The following is a 22,133-nucleotide window of genomic DNA, read 5'->3' as shown; positions in this document are numbered from 1 at the left end:
ACCATACGATCCAGAAATCACGCTCTTTGATATTTACCCAAAGGCATTGAAAATTTATGTCCACAGAAAAACCTGTACACAGATGTTAGCACCTTTACTCTTAATTTCCAAAACATGGAAGCAACCAAGATGTCCTTCAGTAAATGACTGGGTCAATAAAATGTGTTACACCAGGCGCGGTGACTCATGCCTGTAATCCCAGCACTTTGGAAGGCTGAGGCGGGCGGATCATGAGGTCAGGAGATGGAGACCATCCTGGCTAACATGATGAAACCCAGTCTCTACTATAAAAAAATACAAAAAATTAGCTGGGCGTGGTGGCGGGTGCCTGTAATCCCAGCTACTGGGGAGGCTGAGGCAAGAGAATGGCATGAACCCGAGAGGTGGAGCTTGCAGTGAGCCAAGATCATGCCACTGCACTCCAGCCTGGGCAACAGAGCGAGACTCTGTCTCAAAAAAAAATAAAATGAAATAAAATAAAATAAAATGTGATACATTCAGAAAATGTAATATTATTCAGTGTTAAAAAGAAATAAGCTATCAAGTCATGAAAAGACATGGAGGAATCTTAGATGCATATTGCTAAGTGAAAGAAGCCAATATGAAAAGGCTATATACTGTATGATTGCAACTATATGACACTCTGGAAAAGACAAAAATAAGGAGTCAGGAAAAAGATCAGTGGCTTCTAGGGGTACGCAGGGAGGGAAAGATGAACCAGCAGAGCACGGGGGTTTTCAAGCAGTGAAACTACACTGTAAGATGTTATATGTGTGGATGCATGTCATCATGCATTTGTCCAAACCCTTAGAATGCACAACTCCAAACGTGGCCCAATGTAAACTATGGACTTTGGGTGATTATGACAGCCAGTGCCCATTCATCAATTGCAACAGGTATACCACCGGTGGAGGATGTCGATACTAGGGGAGGCTATGCACATGTGGAAGCAGGGATGATATGGGAAAGCCAGCTCTGCACCTTCCACTCAATATTGCTGTGAACATAAAACTGTTCTAAAAAGTATAGTACAGTAAAAAAATGGATATAGAATGTGATCAGATATTTCACCAAAAAAAATAAATAAATAAAAACAGACACAAGAAAAGATACTCCATATCATTGGTCACTAGGGAAATGCAAATCAAAACCGTAAGGAAATACCACTATGTGCCTGTCTTAATGGCTAAAAATAAGCAGGGAAATGATAATAGCAAGTGTTGGCAAGGATGTGGAGCAAGTGGAATTCTCCTGTGTTTCTCGGGGGCCTGCAAAATGGTAGTCTGGAAAACAGTCACTCTGGAAAACAATTTGACAGCTTCCTGTAAAAGGAAATAAAGTTAAATGTACATTTACCATACCACTGACTGAGCCAATTCCTAAGTATTTATCCAAATAAAATGCAAATCTATGTTCTCATAAAAACCTGTAGGAGAATGTTTGCGGCAGCTTTACTCATAACCCCAAAAACTGGAAACAACCCAGGAGTCTCTCAACCAGGGATTAAAGAAACTGTGGTACATCCATGCATTGGAATACTATTTATTTGATATGGTTTTGCTGTGTCCCCACCCAAATCTCATTTTGAATTGTAATCCCCATGATCCCCATAGTCCCCATGTGTCAAGGGAGATACCAGGTGGAGGTGATTGGATCATGGAGGCAGTTTCCCCCATGCTGTTCTCATGATATTGAGTGAGTTCTCACGAGATCTGACTGTTTTATAAGTGTTTGGTAGCTCGTCCTGCGACCCTTCTCCCTCCTGCTGCCTTGTGAAAAAGGTGCCTTGCTTCTCCTTCACCTTCCACTATGATTATAAGTTTCCTGAGGACCCCCCAGCCATGCTGAACTGTGAGTCAATTAAACCTCTTTCCTTTCTAAATTACTCAGTCTTGGGTAATTCTTTTATAGCAGTGTGACACTATTAATCAATAAACAGAAAAAAAACTACTTATACATAACAACATAGATAAAATCTCAAAGTCATCATGCCAAGTGCAACAGGCCTGACTCAAAAGGCAAAATTCTGTATGAGTTCATGTGTACTGAATTCTTGAAAAGGCAAAATTATAAGGGCAGTAAAAGTAGCAGAGGGTTTGGGGGTTGGCCAGGGAAGGGAGGTTTGGCAATGAATGGGCACAGGAATATTCCTTTACATGATGGAATTGTTCCATATCTTGAGTGTGGGGGTGTTACACACTGTAATCATTTGTCAAAACTCCCAGAACTATACATTAGAAAGAATAAATTCTACTTATGTAATTATACCTTACTGTTGAAAGGGGGAAAAGATGAAATCATTATTCAGTTTTTAAAAAATCCATAGGAAGACACAAAATCACTCCTTTAATAAAAGAGCTCTTCCTTCATAGAAAGGAACTGAGCAATTCCTTAAACATCACAATCTTTTGTTTTTAATATTACAATTAATATTGTAGGAAAACAATAATTTGTAAAGGGACTCAAAAATGCATTAATGTGATATTGAATTTAAATTTTTATAAGGAAGAGAGAGGTCCAAATACTTCCCTGGCACCTACGATGTGCCTGCAGAGTGATGGGTGTTTTCTGTGCTAGGCCTTGGTTAATTGCAGGAACAGAAGGGAGGCAGTCACTTGAGCAAACTTTCTGTTCCTTGTTTTCTAAGTTCTGTTCTCCAAAACTTCCAGACAGCAGCATAATGCTGATGCTTCTCCTCCTTCCCCTCTTCCCCAAAAAAGTTCATAATTCAGTCCATCAAGGGGTCTGCGTGACAGCAAACTTCAGGTTGACTGATTTTTTTTCCTCCTAAACTGACAGAATCAAATGATGATTTATTTATTTACTTACTAATAATTTATATCTTGTCTCCCTCCAAAGAGGATTTGAGTACCTCGCTGGATGTGTTGGCATTACCTCCAAAAAGTGTAAGCATATCGGGGAAGAAAATAACCACTGGAGAAGTGGTCTTTGGTTTCGTTGCAGATTCTATGGAGTCACACAGTAATGCTTAATGAGCCCATTACTGCAGAATATGAATAATAGAGAGTCTGACCTGGTTGCTATGTTAAAATGGGATATCAGATCTAAAACCACCTCCATGAGGTTGTCTGCACAGGTGAGGGGAGGTGATCTACGAGGTAATTGGGCCCAAAGACTTGACACATTGGAGAAATAGAAGCTTTCTTCCCTGAGCAAGTCCATTAAGCTAAGAACAAGTTACCTACCAGCCACTAAAGGTGGTCTGTGGACCAGCACTTACGTGAAGAGTTTCAGCAACTGGGCAAAGTAGGCATTAGGACTCCATGAAAAACCAGAGAGGGCTCAGAGAGGGTATGTAACTTGCCAAGGGTCACAGAGCTGGCAAGAGGTAAAGCTAGGACCTTGAATCTAGGTCTTCTGGAATCCACAGCCTGTGCTTCCCCCCTTTTCCAACTTGCCTCTTGGCTTTTGAGCCCAATCAACTTGTCTGGCACTGGCTACCTGTAATGATCTCATTTATTAATATAGTTTGACATCCTTTGCTCAGTTTTGGACACTGCTTCAAAAAATGTTTGCCATCCCTGCCATGGGTTAGGATAATCTCAGCTACAAGTAACAGCAAGTTCAAATTCAAACTGGCTTCAACAATGAGATGATTGATTAGCCCCTAACCGTGGAGGACCAGAGGCAGGGCAGGTTCCAGGCAACATATGTTAGAAGATCTGCTTTGCTGCTTCAAGGGTCCCCCTGCTTGGCCCTTTTCCATGTGTGTGCTTCTTCCTCGGGAAGGAAGGAATCAGAATGCAGCAGTTGTAGGGATTTCTCCAAAGAAGCAATGGGCCCATCTCCTGAAGTGTGAGACAGCCTCTCTTATAAGCTCCAGCTGTCATCACCTCCAGACACATTGGCCAGGGATGGGCTACATACACATTGCTGGGTTACATCCCCACTCTTAAACCATCACTGGCAGGGTGGGGGGATGACCATGGACGCTGTAGGAGAAACTTGGTAGATGTTTTCTAATCCATTACCCCCTCCAGGAGAAAAGAGTCGTTTTCAGAACCCAGGAAGACTGCCTTTCCCAGCCTCTGTTACAATTCAGTTGGGGCCATGTAACCAGCTTCGATAAATAGAATGTGAGAAAGTGATGCCCCTTCCAGGCCTGTCCATAAAATGTCTTGTGTGGTCCTCCACACTCACTTTCATCAGCAGCCAAAGGCAGAGGACTCACAGCACAGCAGAGAAGTAGAGATTAAAAGATGCCTTAAAAGATGACAGCACAGTAGAGAAGTAGAGATCTGAATTCCTAAATCGCTTCATAAGAGGCCAAATGCTGGTCTAGGCACATAAAGGTATTGTGTCAAGCCACTCAAATTTTAGGGTTATTTGTTCCTGCAGCTAGCACTAATTGCCCTAACTAATCCAGGTGGCTTCAACTAATCAGCGGGGGTGGAAAAGAAGTCTGGGAGTCAGCCATAAAAACCGCTCTGTAACAAATCATGTGCTTCATGCATGGTAGAGAGGCCCCATGTTCAGGGTCTCCCATGGCCAGGGAGATGGAAGAAAGATATTAGCGAGCTGCTTTGAAAGTTCAACAAGTTTAATAATTATAGGACAGCTTTAGAGACTACCTTTAGTCTCTGTGTGATCTTGGGCAAGTCACTCCCAAACTGGGGGCCTCAGTTTCTCCAGGAGAACATGGTATCTTTACTCTCTCCAGGCTCTGAGACCCAGTGGGTCAGGGCAGCTCAAGGGGTTGAACTGCACTTACCTTGGGTTTGGTGCTGTTGAAGCAACACATAGTGTGGCCTGGAAAAGGGTCATTTTCAGAACTAAGGCCAGGGCACCCACTCTGGAGAATCTGCACCAAGAAGCTCCAGGCCACCCAGCAACCTTGGGACAGTTACATCTGTGCATGTTGATCCCCAGGGCGGGCTCTTTTCTCACTGAAACCATTACTCCAGTGTATTTGACGTAATTCCTACAAAACATGATTTTTATAACTCTGATCAGGGAGCCAATTAATATAACTATTATTTATTGTGACTGCCTAGGCATAAAAACCACACAAATCAAACTGATTCCCCAAATCCACTTGGATCTCCACATTGTTAAGTCACATCCATTACACTGCTTTATAGTCGCATTTGTATTTTTTATTATTAATGCTATCAATACAATATTTATTCACCATGAAATAGCCTTCCACTTGGGAGGGAAATATGTGTACTTGTAAGTGCTCCTAATCATATCAAGCTCTGCACACGCTGGCTGGCGGATTGATGATGACTGGAACACATATTTTTTGAATAACAATAATGATCGCCAGTTATTGAAGTCCTACTAAGCACCAGGCTATGCCTTACATTCATTATCTCTTTAACCTTATCAATAATTATATCTTTCTCAACTTCATTTTACAGAAGGACACACTGAGGCTCAAGAAGGTGATGTAACTTCCCAAACATCCCACAAATAGTCAGTAAGGAACTGAGTCTTTGATCCAAGGACTCCCTGTTTTCACACAATTGCCCAAGTGCCTTCTAGGATCTATGGGGGGAAAGGCCAAAGCCAAGCATTCAAGATTGAAACCAAAACAACACACAAACATATCGCTCACTCTAATTGCGTCTCTTTCCTCATGTATTCTTCACCCAGAAATTGCCATCGTATCCATTTCAGTTTCATGCGAACTAACGCAGGCATCTGGATCACAAAGGCAGTGCGGCAAACTCACCTATGCTCTGCACATTTTGGAGAACATCCCCCTCAGTGATCTCAGGCCACATTTGATGACACCAGCACAGGTTACTAAAAAAGTGTCTTTCTCCCTTCCAGGCAGCAATAAAGGCAGCGTGCGCCATGTTGCTCTGCAAGTTCCCAAGAATTAGTAACATTTGAACAGACAATTTCTTGGTATCACTCCACTTCACCTCTCCCCACACCTCAGCCCTGCCCACCGCCAACCTCTCCGGCCAAACCCACCTCCAGGCAGCACAAATATTATTGACAATGCTAGGTGACAGCAGGAAACAAAACATACACCAATGATGAGGGTTGCCAGATAATGTACAAGATGCCCAGTTAGATTTGAATTTCAGATAAACAAGCATGTTTTTAGCATAACCATGTCCCCAAGAAGTATGATGGGAATTCACATTTAACCAAGCACCCTGTATTTTTATTTGCTCAATCTGGCAATCGTATCAACTACGTTAGAGAGAAAACTTCTACTTTCTCGGCTAAAGCTCCTTTTTTCTCTTGGCCCCTTTCCAGACCACTGCCAGGCCTCAAAGGAAGGGAAGTGGCTAATGTGCTGAGTCAGACCTCAGGACGCCCCTGGTCTGAGCTTCATCAGCCGGTAGAGTTTCTCTGTCGTCATGGCCAGTGTGCAAGCACACGCTTCCCTCCGGCGCTTCCACTTGTCAGGCACTAAGCAGACCAAAGCTGGACCTGCTGGTTTTTTTTAACCTGTTCCAACTCTGCTCTCCTGCACCTGGGTGGGGGACACAGGCAGGCCATCCCCTGCTCACACAGCCATCTTAGACTTAGGAGGGGTCATGGGAAACAAAGGTTTGGAGCCTCCCCTGCAGAGTCCAGCTGCTCTATCAGAGGGCCCGGCACCGGCGATGTCGCAGGACCTGTCATTTGGGTTAGGCACCTGTGGAGAAGGATCAATCCCTCCTCCAAAAACCTCCTCGAGGAGAAGAAATGAGGAATGAACCAGGCCTGAGCTCCGCTGAGCCCTGCTGTCCAGTGACCTGCAAAGGGGCAGCTCTCTGCCCAGAAACCGCAACACACAGGGCCAACCGCTACAGAACCTCAAACAGCCTGATACAGAGCAACATGCACAGGGCTCTGGGTTTCTCTGGAGAGTGGATCATGTGGACAAGATCAATAATCAATGCTTACTGGGGCCAATAGTTAGTGGGGCTGATATAACAAACCCATAAATAACTCTCCTCTGTTCTCTTCCTGAAACCCAACCCGGACCAGCACCAACCAGCTCTTTTCACGCTAGTGAACTGGTTATTCCTACAGATGAGTCCATTGGCATAAGGTCACTGATTTCCTTAAAGAGCATGTGCCCTTGCCATTATTTTCAGTGAGGGACCAATGAGCGGGCTACTTGAAATCTGACCCCAGACTTCAGATGGCCAGGGGCTTACAGGCACAGATCAACGTACAGCAACATTCTTTTTTTTTTTTTTTTTTTTTTGAAACAGAGCCTCGCTCTGTTGCCCAGGCTGGAGTGCAGTGGCTCTATCTCCGCTCACTGCAAGCTCCGCCTCTTGGGTTCACGCCATTCTCCTGCCTCAGCCTCCCGAGTAGCTGGGACTACAGGCACCCACCACCACGCCTGGCTAATTTTAATGTACAGCAACATTCTACCTGTGCTCCCTGATAGCATCTGACCAAAACCTCCTGCTAGCCCTGCACAGGGACAAATCTCTGTGCTGTTCATTTTCTCTTCTCTAAAAAATGGCTTATCCACTATGGAAAATAGTACACAGGTTCCTCAAAAATTAAAAATAGAACTACTACCTGATCCAGCAATCCCACTTCTGGGTATGTATCAAAAAGATTTGAAATTAGGATCTCAAAGGGATCTCTGCACTCCCATGTTCACTGCGGCACTATTTACAGCAGCCAAAATATGGAAACCACCTAAATGTCCATTGATGGATGACTGGATAAAGAAAATGTGGGGCCAGTATAGCAGTTCATGCCTATCATCCCAGCCCTTTGGGAGGTCAAGTTGGGAGGATCACTTGAGCCCAGGAATTGGAGACCAGTCTGGGCAATGTAGGGAGACCCTGTCTTTACAAAAAATAAAAATATTAGCCAGGTGTGGTGGCACATGCCTGTGGTCTCAGCTACTTGGGAGGCTGAGATGGGAGGATCGCTTGGGCCCAGGAGGTCGAGGCTGCAGTAAGGCATGGTTGTGCCACTGCACCCCAGCCTGGGCCACAGAGCAAGACCTTTCCTCATTAAAAAAAAAAATGTGATGTATACACACAATGAAATATTATTCAGCCTCTAAAAAGAAGGAAATCCTGCCATATGTTACAACATAAATGATGCTAACAAAGGACAAAGACTGCATGATTCCATTTATATGAGATATTAAAATAATCAAATTCCTAGAAACAAAGAACAGAAGGTGATTTTCAGGGGCTGAGGGAGGGGAAAAGTGGCATTGCTATCAATGAGTACAAAGTTTCAGTTATGAAAAATGAGTAAGTTCTAGAGATCTGTTGTTCAGCCTTACACTTGTAGATAATAATACTGCACTGGACACTTAAAATGTTTTAAGAGGGTACATCTAAAGAATGGACACATAGAAGAGAACAACACACACAGGGGCCTTTTGGAGGGTAGAGGGTTGAGGAGGGAGAGGATCAGGAAAAATAATTAATGGGTACAAGCTTAACACCTGGGTGATGAGATAATCCTTACAACAAACCCCCATGACACAAGTTTACCTATGTAACAAACCTGCACATGTACCCTGAATTTAAAATAGAAGCTAAAAAGAAAAAGATGGTGGATCTCATATTAACCGTTCTTATCACAATAAAATAAATTTTTTAAAAAAGAAAAAGAAAAACTTCTCTGTGGTTGAGGCAGGAAAGAAGAAAAGTCAGCGTCATGCCTATGTCTAGAGGACCCCAAAGTGCAGAAAAGCCAGAGTCAAAATGTGTAACTACTGTCCAGGAAGCGGGAGAAAAAGAATCAGACCAGTGAGCTATTTTTAGGTGCATTTGTCCTCACCACATAATGCAACTTTCAAATATGCTTCTATTTCTTCAAGTACAGTGAGTCCCCAGACACCCCCGTTCACACACTGTGTGCTGCCTGTATCGGAGAAATATCTGCTTCTCACAGATAATCAACCCTCCTAATTAATAACACAAAGTCACAGGAGGAGCTCTCTAACTGAAACCGCAGCGGGGAACAGATAAGAAAAATATACTGGAGGTGTGGAGTTGTGGGTTGTTTTTTTTCCCCCTAATTCCCTAAGTCCTGCCAGTATTCTATGATGTCTTATAAATTCCAGAATAATGAAACATGACACAATGTAACCCAATGTGAGGCGTCAACATGACATAAGCAAATGCAAAAGGATTCAAGATCACCAAGCATGTCAGAAATACACGCGGAATTTTCTTCCTCCGCCCCTACTCCTGGGTGACAGGGTTTGGAGATTGGGATCTGTGTGATAATGACGGCTGCAAATGAGAAGAACCGCCCCACCTTTGTGTGGGCACCTTCCTTGTTAATGGCACTCAAGATGCTTTGTAGACTTCATAAAGCTAAGAACCAGGTAGTCACATTTGGAAAACAAGGGTCATTTCACCTGCCAGGGACCACACACAGACACAGTCCTGCCTCTGTTTGCCAGCTGTTACCACCAAAGCCCCATCAACAGGCTAGCCTCCTGACCTAAAATTACAGCATGTGGAACTTTTCCAAGGAAATTATTAATTTAAGATTGTAGGAACTTCCCTGAAAACACTGCTATTTTTATTAGTGAATGGATATGTGTCTGGACTATTTGGTAAATGGTAGAAAATCACATTGGCATTTGCCATCCCTCTACAGTTGTCTAAGTATTTTGCTTAGAAATAGTCCCTTTGGGCCGGGCGTGGTGGCTCATGCCTGTAATCCCAACACTTTGGGAGGCCAAGGCAGGCAGATTGCCTGACCCCAGGAGTTCAAGACCAGCCTGGCCAACATGGTGAAATCCCGTCTGTACTAAAAATACAAAAATTAGCTGGGTGTGGTGCCGTGTGCGTGTAATCCCAGCTACTTGGGAGACTGAGGCATGAGAATCACTTAAACCTGGGAGGCAGAGGTTGCAGTGAGTCAAGATCACGCCACTGCACTCCAGCCTGGATGACAGAGCAAGACTCTATCTAAAAAAAAGAAAAGAAAAGAAAAGAAGAAAAAGGAAATAGTCCCTTTGGATTCTCACAAATTCCCTACCATGTGGGTTCAGGCCCATCTTGTGGATGGGAAAACTGAGGCCCAGAGGAGGATGTGGCTTGGCAAGATGGAACAGCCTGTGACCAGCAGGGCCTGGACAGGCAGACGTCCTCTCGCTCGCTCAGGGCTCTCTTCATGGCACCAAGCTCTCTCTCCAATTCAGCTCTCACCCATGCTGGTGGTTCAGACACCATCCCTCCCCCATCAGGCTATCACAGCCCGCAGGAGCTGCAATTGAGCTTTTGAAATATCACAATATTTATCTTGCTTGGATTCAGGATGTTGTTGAAGCTCATCAGAAACAGCAATCTGGGGACCAAATAGAGAATTCCTTAAAAATTTAGTCCCTGTCAGAGAGAAACATTCCCTCATTCCAACATGTCCCAAATTGCAGTTTGCAACTCTCCATGTTTGAAGGCAACCCAAAGGCTTTATTCTCGGGGTCCTGGATGGAAACACCACTGGTCTGTCAGTCATCCTGATGTCATCAGAAGCCACTGGGTCACCCCAAAGGATCCAAGATTGCTAAATTTTAGTTTTGTAGAGAAGCAATTTGGAAATGTTGGCAACAGAGAAAGTGCTTCCAAATGAATACATCCCTATTCGTTATCAAAGAAAGTTTTCCAAGACTCATAGCCTCAAACAATGCCTTTCTCCAGCGTGATAATAGTGTATGTCTTTGTCCACAAAAGTTGCACCCTACTCAACCCTCATAACAGCACATAGCTTGTGTCAGAAAAAGAAAGAAGAAGAAGAAAGGGAGGGAGAGAGGCAGAAAAGGAGGGAAGGGGGAAGGAGATGAAGCGTAGAGGAAAAGAGGAAGAGACACAGAGAAAGGCAGAAAAGAGAGGGGAGAAATAATGAGAGAGAGAAGAAAGAGAACTTGCCCTTAAAGGATGGCAATATTAGTATTCTATAAAGCTTCATAGTTTATAGACTGTTCACATGATCCTCTCACTTCATTCGGCCTCCCCAGCAGCCCTGAGTGTTGCTTATATAATAATTTTGCCCACATTGTTCAAATTACAAAAGCGAGGCTCTGAGAGATGGAGGCCCAGCTAAGGGTTATCCAGCCATGAACACCCCCAACTCTTGCTGCGGATATGACCCCATGGTCATCCTAAAGGGTCCTTCTGTTTCTGTGACTTTTGAGATTCAACACCTTTTTGTTTGAGGATGATGTGTTCATTCTGTCAATGTATCATTATATACAATATTTGTGTTTTAATGCTGCTGATCTGGAAAGAAAATGGCATGTATGAAATGATCAGTCTCAGAGGTTTCTGCAGAGCCACACCAGCCAGACAGGGAGCTGTGACCAGCCACAGGCAGGGACCCTTGGCCCTGTGTCCTCTTCCTTCAAAATCCTTCCGCTCTGAGCTCCTGCTACTCCGGCTCTCTGAAAGCCCACGCAGGGGTAAGTCATGTACCCTGGGGGTGGCTCCTCGTTCCAGTCTCCAGGCTCTGACTTCGGGTGTCTCCTCTTCAGGCGTAACAGCCCTGGGTGGGGTTGGAGCTCCACTTTTGCCTTCGCCACCACCACCCTGAGTGGCCTTTGTTTGTCTAAGGCCTGTGTCTTCTCCCTCCTGTGAGCTCACCTCATGAGCCCTAAAATAAAAGTGGTTATATTGAACAACTTTATGCCATAGGTACTCTTAACCTGATTTGCAGATGGCATAAACAAAATTCAAACCACGCAGCAGAGTAGGGATTGACATGGAAGAATGGTTGAGGGGCCTTCAGTAACCCTTTTCTTTATGCGACCTGCATTCAATTCCTGTGGCTGCCATAACAAAGTATCACAAACCAGGTGACTGAAGACAACAGAAATTATTCTTTTATACTTCTAAATGCTAAAAGACAAAATCAAGCTATCAGCAGGGCCACACTTCCTCCAAGGGCACTAGGGCAGGATCCTTCCTTGCTTCTTCCAGTTCCTGGTGACTCCAGACATTCCTGGGCAGCCTCACTCCAGTCGCTGACCCCATCTTCCCAAGGCTGTCTTCTCCCTGTGTGTCTCTGTGTCCTCTCTTCTTATAAGGACATCCAGTCATTGGATTTAGGGCTCACCCTAAATCCAGGATTATTTTATCTGCAGGTTCTTAGCTAATTACATCTGCTGTAACCCTATTTCCAAGTAAGGTCACATTCTGAGACTCTGGGTGGACATGAATTAGGGTGGGGGGAATCCTATTCAACCCATCACACAATTCCCAGTTTTATTCTTTGTAAAAGAGATTTTAAGCAGCTGAAAGCAGTAGTTTTAAAAACCGGGAAGCTCTGACTACCACCCAGAAAAATCCCACAATGTAGGCAATTGTCCTTACAGCCCAAATGCATGGCAGGTACAAGCACTAGCCATTTGCCACCAATGCCCCTGGGACGCCAAGAGACACCCAGCCCTGTGGGGAGTCAAAACACCAGCCCATTTCTATGCAAATAGCATTATGGAGCCATTCAGCGTCTGATTCCTTGTAGATGAATCTGAGCTTGCCAAACGCCACCCGGAATTTTTCCACGGGAGAGACTCTGCAAGATATCAAACAAGATCTGACAATACATTCATCTTTAATCTGCGCAGTGCACCTTTACTTTGAAAGTTGTTTGCTTTGCATGGCATGATATGATTTCCGATAAATTCTCAAAATTTGCAGCCTCCGTCTAGATGAAGGAAAAAACCCAGCAGGCAGAGAGGAGAGGAAGAGACTTAAGGCAGCAGATTTGCTGAAGTCCGTGGAAGTCCAAAGCATGCAAAAATGAGCCCCAAAGTTGCTTCTCAGGAAAGGAGCCACGTGCATTTGCACCAGGGCCTACCCCTGTTTCTAAGAGGCATGCAATGTGGCTGAAATCAGGAAAGGCACACAGCTCTCTCATTCACTGCGTCTAGAATTAATGCCTTGAAATAGAAACACACACACACACACACACACACACACACACAAAATCCCCACCAGTGCCCTCTCTCACAAATGAGCGTTTTGTAAGGAAAGATATGACCCTTGCTGGAAACTGGATAGGGCATTCCTGGGTAGAGTTTAAATAAAACCCCTGCCTACTATAGCTATTAGTTTCTTGCAGGGAAGATACAGGTGATAAATCCAATATTCAGCTCCCAAGTAAGCTTCAGGAGGAAAAAACTCATATTGCAACATTAATGTCCAATTGACACAAACTTTGAAAAAGTGTGTATATATATAGAGATAGATAGATTCACATATATATGTGCACATGCATGTGTGTGTGTGTGTATACAGATGTATACATACATATTTGGGGGGTAATTCTAAATCCTCCACAACATACACCAATGTCACATTTTAATGTAATATCATGTCCAATGCATATTCATGAAATACAATCTTGGCAGTGGCACAAGAAAAGTGGGATGAAGTGTGTTTGGCGGAGTGCGTCACGTTTCCAGGCCAGCGGATTTTTTGATTAAAGTCCCTTATCCGTTTTATCATGCATATCCACTCTCTGATTAAAGTGATCTGGGGCTGACACTCACAATGTCAGTATGCACTGAGACCCTTCACACAAAACATGGTTGGAATTTATATCCTTAAAAAAAAGACCCTGTACACCCAATAACAAAACGAAAACAGGGCAACGTTCATTTAAATATAAGTCTACGTCGGATGGCTCTGTGAGTTGTCTGTTCCCTAGTTCAAAGAGATTTAACCCAGAATATCAATCAGTGTCCAACTTCAGATGCTAAATTTTATTTCTTTTTTTTTTCTAAGTTAAGTTTTTTTTCTGACTTGTTGGGCTTTTTATCAAATGTTTCCACTTGAGAAAAACATGACCAGGAACTCCCACGCAGCGTATAAATAATGAATTTCCCCCAGATGCCGGCCTCTCCAGCACTGTGAACATCAACTTGTCCCAATTTTCCTAAGGCCCCATACAACAGCACTTTCCATCAGGTGCTCCCTGCCAAGCAGCCAGGAGGAGAGAGGAAGGGGGCCACCCAGACCACTGCCCATCTCATGGTGGCAGAGACTAAGCAAGCCTGAGGCCACAGACAGGATGGAGCTGGGCGCGAAATCTCCCGCCTCCCACTGGAGCTCCATGTCCCCTTGAGTCACTTGGGCCAATGGCTGAAGGAAATGACGCAGCTTTTGAAAGCCAACTGATGTCAGAGAAAACAAAGAGAGGGCAGCTATGCATGTGCTCCTTTGACACCCTGCCACCCTCTTCCAGAAGCCCCCTGCATGTGGCAAACGATGCATCTGGAGAGTCTGGAGTGAGATGCTTTTGGAGAGCTGGTGAAGTGTGATCCGAAGTCCTGGGTCACATTGCAGTTGACCAGACAGGTGGCCATGGGCCAGTCATTTCATCCGTCCTCATCTCCAAATCTTCTTTCATGGAGATAATCACATCAACCCATGGGCCTCTTGTGCAGCTCCAACAAAATTGCATCTGAGAAGAGACTTCATACCCAGGACAGACGTTCTCAATGTAGGTCATACCTGTGGGTATGGCCCTCAGAGACAGTGAGATCTCCAGACGAGCACTGACATTCTGCTCCAGAAAAGACCCCAGTCCATCTGTTGTCACACATTTCTGTTTTCAATTCCCAGGCTCCCAGGAATCTATTCCTCTGGCCCTCTGAGCAGGTCCCATGAAGAGCCAGAAGGTTTTCCCCAGCAGCCAGTTCCCACCCCACCTCCACCCACACCCAAGACAGGTGAGAAGCTAATCCTCCACCAGGTGCTCCAGTGACACCCTGCCACCCCCCTCCTGAAGCCCCCTCCTCACCCTTAACAGGGAGGAGGTCAGCTGTGTGTTTATCAGGACCCCTGCTGGATTGAAAACCTGGGACTGTGGATGTTCACTGCTTTTTCCCAGTACTCTACGCAGGGGTGGTACACAGTAGGTGGTCCATGGGCTTGGTTAAGTGAACGTACAAATGAAGCCAAGCCCCATTGGTTGGTGCCCTTAGTATGCCAGACCCCATGCTGGCCGTTCCCTCTCTCTATCTTACCCCAGCCTGACACTGACACGTTGGAGTTGGCCTCATTAAGTCTAGTTCACAGAGGAGTAAAAGGAAGCTCAGAGGAGGGCAGCACCTACAAACCCGGCAGAAAGGGGCAGAGCCAGAACCACGAGCGCACCTGGTGCCTGAGCTGTGGCTATCAGTAGCCCCTGAAAGGCATTTGAAGCCTCTAATTCATGGAACTTCCCTGAGATAGCTAGAGCAGTGGTATCCAGACCTGTGGGTGTCACCAAGCAGCAAATTTTAAAATTAAAGATAGAGCGATAGATAGATAGATAGATAGATAGATAGATAGATAGATAGATAGATAGAAAATAGAGATAGGTAAATAGATAAGTTAGAGATAAATAGGTAGATAGATAAGAGAGAGAGATACATGGATAGATAGATGATAGATAAACAGATAGATAGATAGATAGATAGATAGATAGATAGATAGATAGATAACAGATGATAGATGATAGATGATAGATAGATAGATAGATAGATAGATAGATAGATAGATAGATAGATAGATAGATGATAGATAGACAGAGATAGAATTGACATAGAGTTGTCAGCTTTTATTTGGCCAAAACTTAAAAACAAAACCCAAGTACTACATAAAATAGAGTAAAATAGAGAACTTTTCTTCCTTTCATAAAATAGAGAACTTTTCACACCAAAATTCTAGAACAGGCACAAATATGTCTCAGACTAAATGGTAGCTCTTTAAAAGGAAGACCTTGGGCCTGTCGATGTTCCTCATGTTGCAGTTGACCTGCAGCTCCTCATATCGCAGCTGACCTGAGGATACACCCCAAAGCCAGCCCTGGCCCTGGATGGTCACTGGAGACAATGCTCCCCACATTGTTGGTTGTTTTCTTGTTTAGGAGGTGTGTGTTGCACAGGCCCAGGCTGAAGGCAGAGTTTCTTCCTCTAAGATCAAAGCTGAGGTGAGGCAGCTGCATGGCCAGGGCCACTTGTCTGCTGCCATGTATCTCTGCCCGCTGGCTGTGTGGCCCTGGATAAGCTCTTTGCTTGCCTATGTGCCACTGAGGTTCCCTATCTGGAAAAACAGGGTAAAGGATCCCCTGATCAGGCTGCTGTGAGATCATGTGTGTGGAGCCCAGGCTCTGCCTCTGAGCACACACTTTGCTTTCAAGAATAACCCACATGCGGTAGCTCATGCCTTGTAACTCCAGCACTTTGGGAGGCAGAGGCAGGCAGATCACTTGAGGTCAAGAGTTCAAGACCAGCCTGGTCAACATGGTGAAACCCCATCTCTACCAAAAATATAAAAAATTAGCTGGGTGTGGTGGCTCATCCCTGTAATCTCAGCTATTTGGGAGACTGAGGCAGGAGAATCACTTGAACCTGAGAGGCAGAGGTTGCAGTGAGCCGAGATCGTGTCACTGAACTCCAGCCTGGGCCACAGAGTGAGACTATGTCTCAGAAAACACACACACACACACACACACACACACACACACACACACACCTTGCAGAACTCACTGCTCTCCTGTCCCACCGGGGGAAGACGTCCCTGGGCAGGGGGCAGCAGTCATACATTGAGTTTCAAAGCCAAGTCTGGCCTCTAGCAAATCTATCTAATCTATCTATCTATCTATCTATCTATCTATCTATCTATCTATCTATCTATCTATCTATCTATTTATTCCATTCATCTATCTATCTGTCTGTCTATTTATCTGTCTATGTATCTATTAACCTTGTATCCGTGTATCTATTTGTCTTATCTATCTACCTATCTATTTCTATCTTATCTGGGAAGCAAAATGAGGCTCCCCAGAAACGCTTCAAGAGAAAGAGAATCTTCTCTCAGGGATCTCACTTCTGACTTCCCAATGAGCAGATCCAGTGCAGTCCTGCCCTATTCTCATTCTGGAAAAGTATACAAATAACCCCTTTGCTGTGCATGGGTTGTTGGGAGGAGATTCCTGCCCACATCTCCAGCGAAAGCATTTGGTGATGGTTCCTGTGAGTCCCTGCATAAGAACCTGGCAAGGTCGGCTCTATCAACCCTGGTTTACAGATGACAAAGCTGGGTTTCTGAATGACACAGGGACTTGACAGAGAAAACAGTAGCTAGAAGAAGACAGGATTCATCCCCTAGCCTCCATGACATCGATAACTCTAAATTCAATAAATAATTGTCCCTTTCTCCCCTGCATGCCCATTTTCTACTACCATATATTAGTGCCTAATGGATGGATGGGAAGGAGGAAGGGGGAAAGGAAGGAAGGAAGGAAGGAAGGAAGGAAGGAAGGAAGGAAGGAAGGAAGGAAGGACGAAATTAGGGAGGGAGAGAGGGAGGGCATTCTTGTTTTCTTAAAATTAAAACTGGGAGAAATCAAATGCATGTCATCTGAGAGTTTGGATACACAGAGAAAGTCAGGAAAGGTGTCGTCTGAGAGGCCCTGCCCCTCAGCAGAGGGGCATCCAAAGGCAGAGACAGAAAAGAAACAGGGGACAGGCGATGTTTAAGAGGATACTGGGATTCTGTCTTTTGTCCTTTGCAGACTAACACTTAGTTTCAAGATTCAGAAACTGCCCTGATATTTTAATCCTTTTCTAATTTGATCTCTTCTCCTTCCCCCACCCACTCAGAACCCCGCTGAGATCTGTCTTTTGTGTCCTCCAACTTTAACCTTGGATTAAACTCCACCCTTCTGGAATTAGCTCCATCCTTCTGAAATGGGGAGAGAGAGAAAAAAAGAGGAAGAAGAAAGAGGAGGAGGAGGGAGGAATGATGAAGGGAAGGAAGGAAGGAAGGAAGGAAGGAAGGAAGGAAGGAAGGAAGGAAGGAAGGAAGGAAGGAAGGAAGGAAAGAAGGAAGGAGGCAGGGAGGGAGGAAGGAGGGAGGGAGGAAGGAAAACGGGGAAGACGAATTTTCAGCCCCTTTGTAGGCCCCATGGTATTGAACAGGATGCCCCCCACTCTGGTCTGACTCCCACCATCCTAATTTGGCCCCTCCATCCTCTTCTGCACACACAGTCCCCAGGTACAAACACACTGTCTACCAACAATCCCTGGGTGTGCTTGCATTTTTCTCCTCTGGACCCTCAGAAATGCCATCTGTTTCCCAATTCCTGTGCCTGACCCTTTTCCTTCTCTGCCTACTGAAGTCCTCACTGTTCACAGCTGAGTCGAGCCTTCAGCTGGAAGTGATGGCACCGTCCTGGGACCTCCATGAACCTCTGTCATCTGTACCCACCCTTTAGATGTTCAGTGAATGCTCCTGGATGCTGCCCCAGATGGCAACAAAGAGCAGACAAAGACATTAAGTTGAAAGATGGACTAACAGGTACCTTACCTGCCAGAGCCAGGAAATTACAAGGGAAGGAAGAGGAAAGCGACTCATCTTGAGTCATCCATGTATCAGGCATAGCCTCTGCCATAGCCCCATTCTGCCTTGCCCTCATTTTACAGATGAAAAAACTGAAGCCAAGACTTGGGGAAGGTTAGAGGTCAATAAGCAGCTGAGCAAAGACCCAGCACAGGTGTGCCCGGCCCTGACACTGTTTCTATTGGGACATCTCACCCCAGTTCAAGACGTTCCTCAGGTTGATCCCCTCTGAGATTCTCCTAGGATTCTCCAGATACATAGGATATTTGACAAACCTCTGTGCATGTTTAAGTTCATGTCTCCATAAGAAGCTATGGAAATTGCAAATTATATTAACAATCATGCAGCACCACTCACTGCTATATTTTCCTAACATGATTTTGATGGGAAGAAATTTCCATAAATTATGTGACTTAGACTTTTGAGAGCTATGGAGGAGCTTAGAGATTCCTTCACATCTAACTCTCTTATTTCATGTATATGGAATTTATTTCTTCCTTCACTCACTCAGCAGGTATTTATTGAGTATCTGCCTATGTCAAAGATTATGCTAGATGCTGGGGATGCAGACATGAATAAGTCTTATCCCCCCTGTCAAAGAATTCACAAAGTGACTGGGTCAATGAACAGTGCACAAATAAGGTGAAATGTGTGGGGAGAGACAGTGATAAATCAGCATAGCCTGAGGACCACAGAGCCCTGTGCTTGAAATCTTGTGACCTGGAAAGCTTTGTGTCCTTGGACAAATCAATTTTTATAAGCCCAAGTTTCCGTATTTGTAAAATGGGGAGAAGAGAACTCGCAAGGTTTTAGGAGGACTGCATGAGACAAACTACAAACACTAGGACCCAAGAGGTTTCTCAGAGGAGGAGTCGCTGGAGCTCAGAGGGTGTGAAGTGACTGGGCTACTGGCAGAGACAAGAGGCGATGCATTGCAGGAAGAGCTGGGTGTAAACACGAAGAGATGAGTGGGCTGGCCCAAGTATAGAGGGTAGCAGAAATGGGAGAGGATGGGAATTTTTTTAAATGATGACAACAATAAGAACGAGCAGATGATAGCTATCATTTCTTGAGCAAACTCTCTGCTAAATGATCTGTGTGCATGATATCTCTTGATCTCCCCAACCACTTTTAAGATAGGTACTGTGATGATTCCCATGTTACAGACATGGAAGCCAAGGCACGGAGAGATGAAGTAACTTCCCTAAACCTGCACAGCTAGGAAGTGGCACATCCAGAGTTTAAGCTCAGGCCTGTAGGCCAGGGTTGGGGAGTGATGAATTCAAAAACCCTTTGGGCGGCCAAGCGCAGTGGCTCACACTGTAATCCCAGCACTTTGGGACGTCAAGGCGGGTGGATCACCTGAGGTCAGGAGTTCGAGACCAGCCTGGCCAATATGGTGAAACCCCATGTCTACTAAAAATACAAAGACTTAGCCGGGCATGGTGGTGGAGGCAAGTAATCCCAGCTACTCGGGAGGCAGAGACAGGAGAGTCATTTGAGCCCGGGAGGCGGAGGTTGCAGTGAGCCAAGATCGCACCATTGCACTCCAGCCTGGGCAACAAGAGCATTACTCCGTATCCAAAAAAAAAAAAACTTTAGGGACCATTATGCCTTTTGCAGATATGATGAGGAGTTGTCACTATTTTCTGCTTTAACTTCTTCCTATTCCCAGTGACCTCAATGGTGTCATCCATCCAAAAGGGAGGTGGGAGAAAGGATTCACATTGCAATCTAAGAGTGAGATTATCCACATGCAGTCTTGCTTTCACACCTTTTTCGACATTTGCACGGCTTAATTAAGGAGGTGACCAGCTGCCACAGCAGATTTTTTGTTTGTTCTACAGCAGCAGGAGGTACAAGAGAGGTCCTTAAAAGGCCCAAAAGTGGTCACAAGGGCTCAGAGAGGGGCTCAAACCAGCAGATTTGCTGCTGGAAGCCAGCTTTCCTTCAGTGGGCCATGCATCAGGCAGCACCGAGCCCCCATCCCCAGGCCCAGGGCCAGGCTGGGGCAGCAGGAGAGGGGAGGATCTCAAGTTCAGCCCTGCTGGGCAAAAAGCTGTGAACTGCATCCATGAGTTTGAGGGCTTGTCCTGCATCACGCGTCATCCGCTATACCATGTATTATCTCACTGAAGCCACCTGACAGCACTGAGGGACAGATGCTGCTGTTATTAGCCCCATTTAAAGATGGAGACACTGAGAGTCCAGGGTTAAGTCATGGTGCCAAGACCCCAAGCCTAGCAGGTGAGGAGCCAAAACTCAGGCGGAATCTTGTTCCAAGTCTCTGTGCTTGACTCCTCACTGCTCGGGCCTTGCCTCCCTTGCGGGTGTGCTCCTGGGAAGACCGTTTCACCCTCACCCTGTGTCTGTCACACCTGGGGGGATGAGGCCTGCCTTGCCGGGTTGCTGAGGGGCATCTGGAAATCTTCTCTATGAAGCACTTCTCATGCTGCCTTGACTGAACTCAGGCCTCTGCAAACAGGAGCTGTTAACTGCTATGAAGGGGCTGTCCAGGTGTGTTAGTTTGCTAGGGCTACCATAACAAAGTACCCCAGGCTGGAGAACTTAAATAACAGAAATGTATTTTTATACAGTTCTGGAGGCTGGAAGTCCATGATCAAGGTGTTGCCAGGGGTGGTTTCTTCTAAGGCCTCTCTTCTTGGCTCATGGACAGCTGCCTTCTCCCTATATCTTCACACGGCCCTCCTCTGTGTGTGTCTGGGTCCACATTCCTTCTCTGAATAAGGACAACAGTCTTATTGGATTAGGGTCCACCCCAGTGACCTCATTTAACCTCAATTACCTCTTTAAAAGATTTTATCTCCAAATACAGTCACATTCGGAGGTACTGGGGGTTAGGACTCCAACACAGGGATTTTGGAGAGGGGCACATTTCAACCCATTATACCAGGGAAGCCAGACAGGCTCTGTTTCAGCAGATGAGTCCTTCCTTTGCAGTTCCTTAGTGTTGGCTCGGACTGCCCCACACCATGCTTTTACCCAAAAATCACCTTGGAGAGGGAGCAGGGCTTTTGCCAGATGCCACAGTGACAAAGCTGAGCCACTCGCTGTCCCTACCCTCTGGAAGCTGACAGTGTCCCCAGTGACTCAGATGTGAGGTGTGACTTACAATTCACACATCACTTTTCATATTCTTTATAGCATTTAATTCTCCCAACTCTTCTAGGGGAAAGTTTCTAGCACTGTCCTTGTTTTGAGCTGTAGAGACTGATGCTCAAAGACCAGGGGATTGGCCCCAGACCACAATGACCATGCATTAAACCTGAATCCCAGGGTTCTCAGCCCTAGTCCAGAGCAGTCTGGAATATTCTTTCTTCAGCCTATCTGGAATATTATTTCTTCAGCCACAAATTTCAATATCTGGTCAACAATAATTTATTGAGTTTCTACTTTGTGCTGGGAGCTTACATAAAAACAGAGGGTGTTGGGATAAAGGAAGGACAAACAAATTACAAATTGCAGAAATGAACAGATCAGTGTGATAGATTGTAAGGGAGAGAATGACTTTAGATGGCATGAACTTGGAAGGTCCCTCTGGGAAGGTGACATGTAAGCAAAGACCAAAAGAGGCAAAAGAGGCCGTGCAAAGGCCCTGGGGTACCCTGGTTTGAGATGATACTGGAGAGTTAGACAGGAGCCAACTCACACACTACCTTGGAAAATATCATTCTAAATATAGTAGAAAAAAACCTTGGACTTGAACCAAGAGAATGTGAACTGTTCATCTGATGATGTTTGCTAGTCTCTCTGGTGTTCTCTCTCATTATTGTAGGAAATGGGAGTGGAGTTAAAGATTTCTTTGGGATTGAA

The sequence above is a fragment of the Homo sapiens genome, chromosome 14, assembly GCF_000001405.40.
Source record: "Homo sapiens chromosome 14, GRCh38.p14 Primary Assembly".
Classification (NCBI taxonomy): Eukaryota; Metazoa; Chordata; class Mammalia; order Primates; family Hominidae; genus Homo; species Homo sapiens.
The sequence above is the reverse complement of the archived record's forward strand: the minus strand, read 5'-3'. Positions refer to the sequence as shown.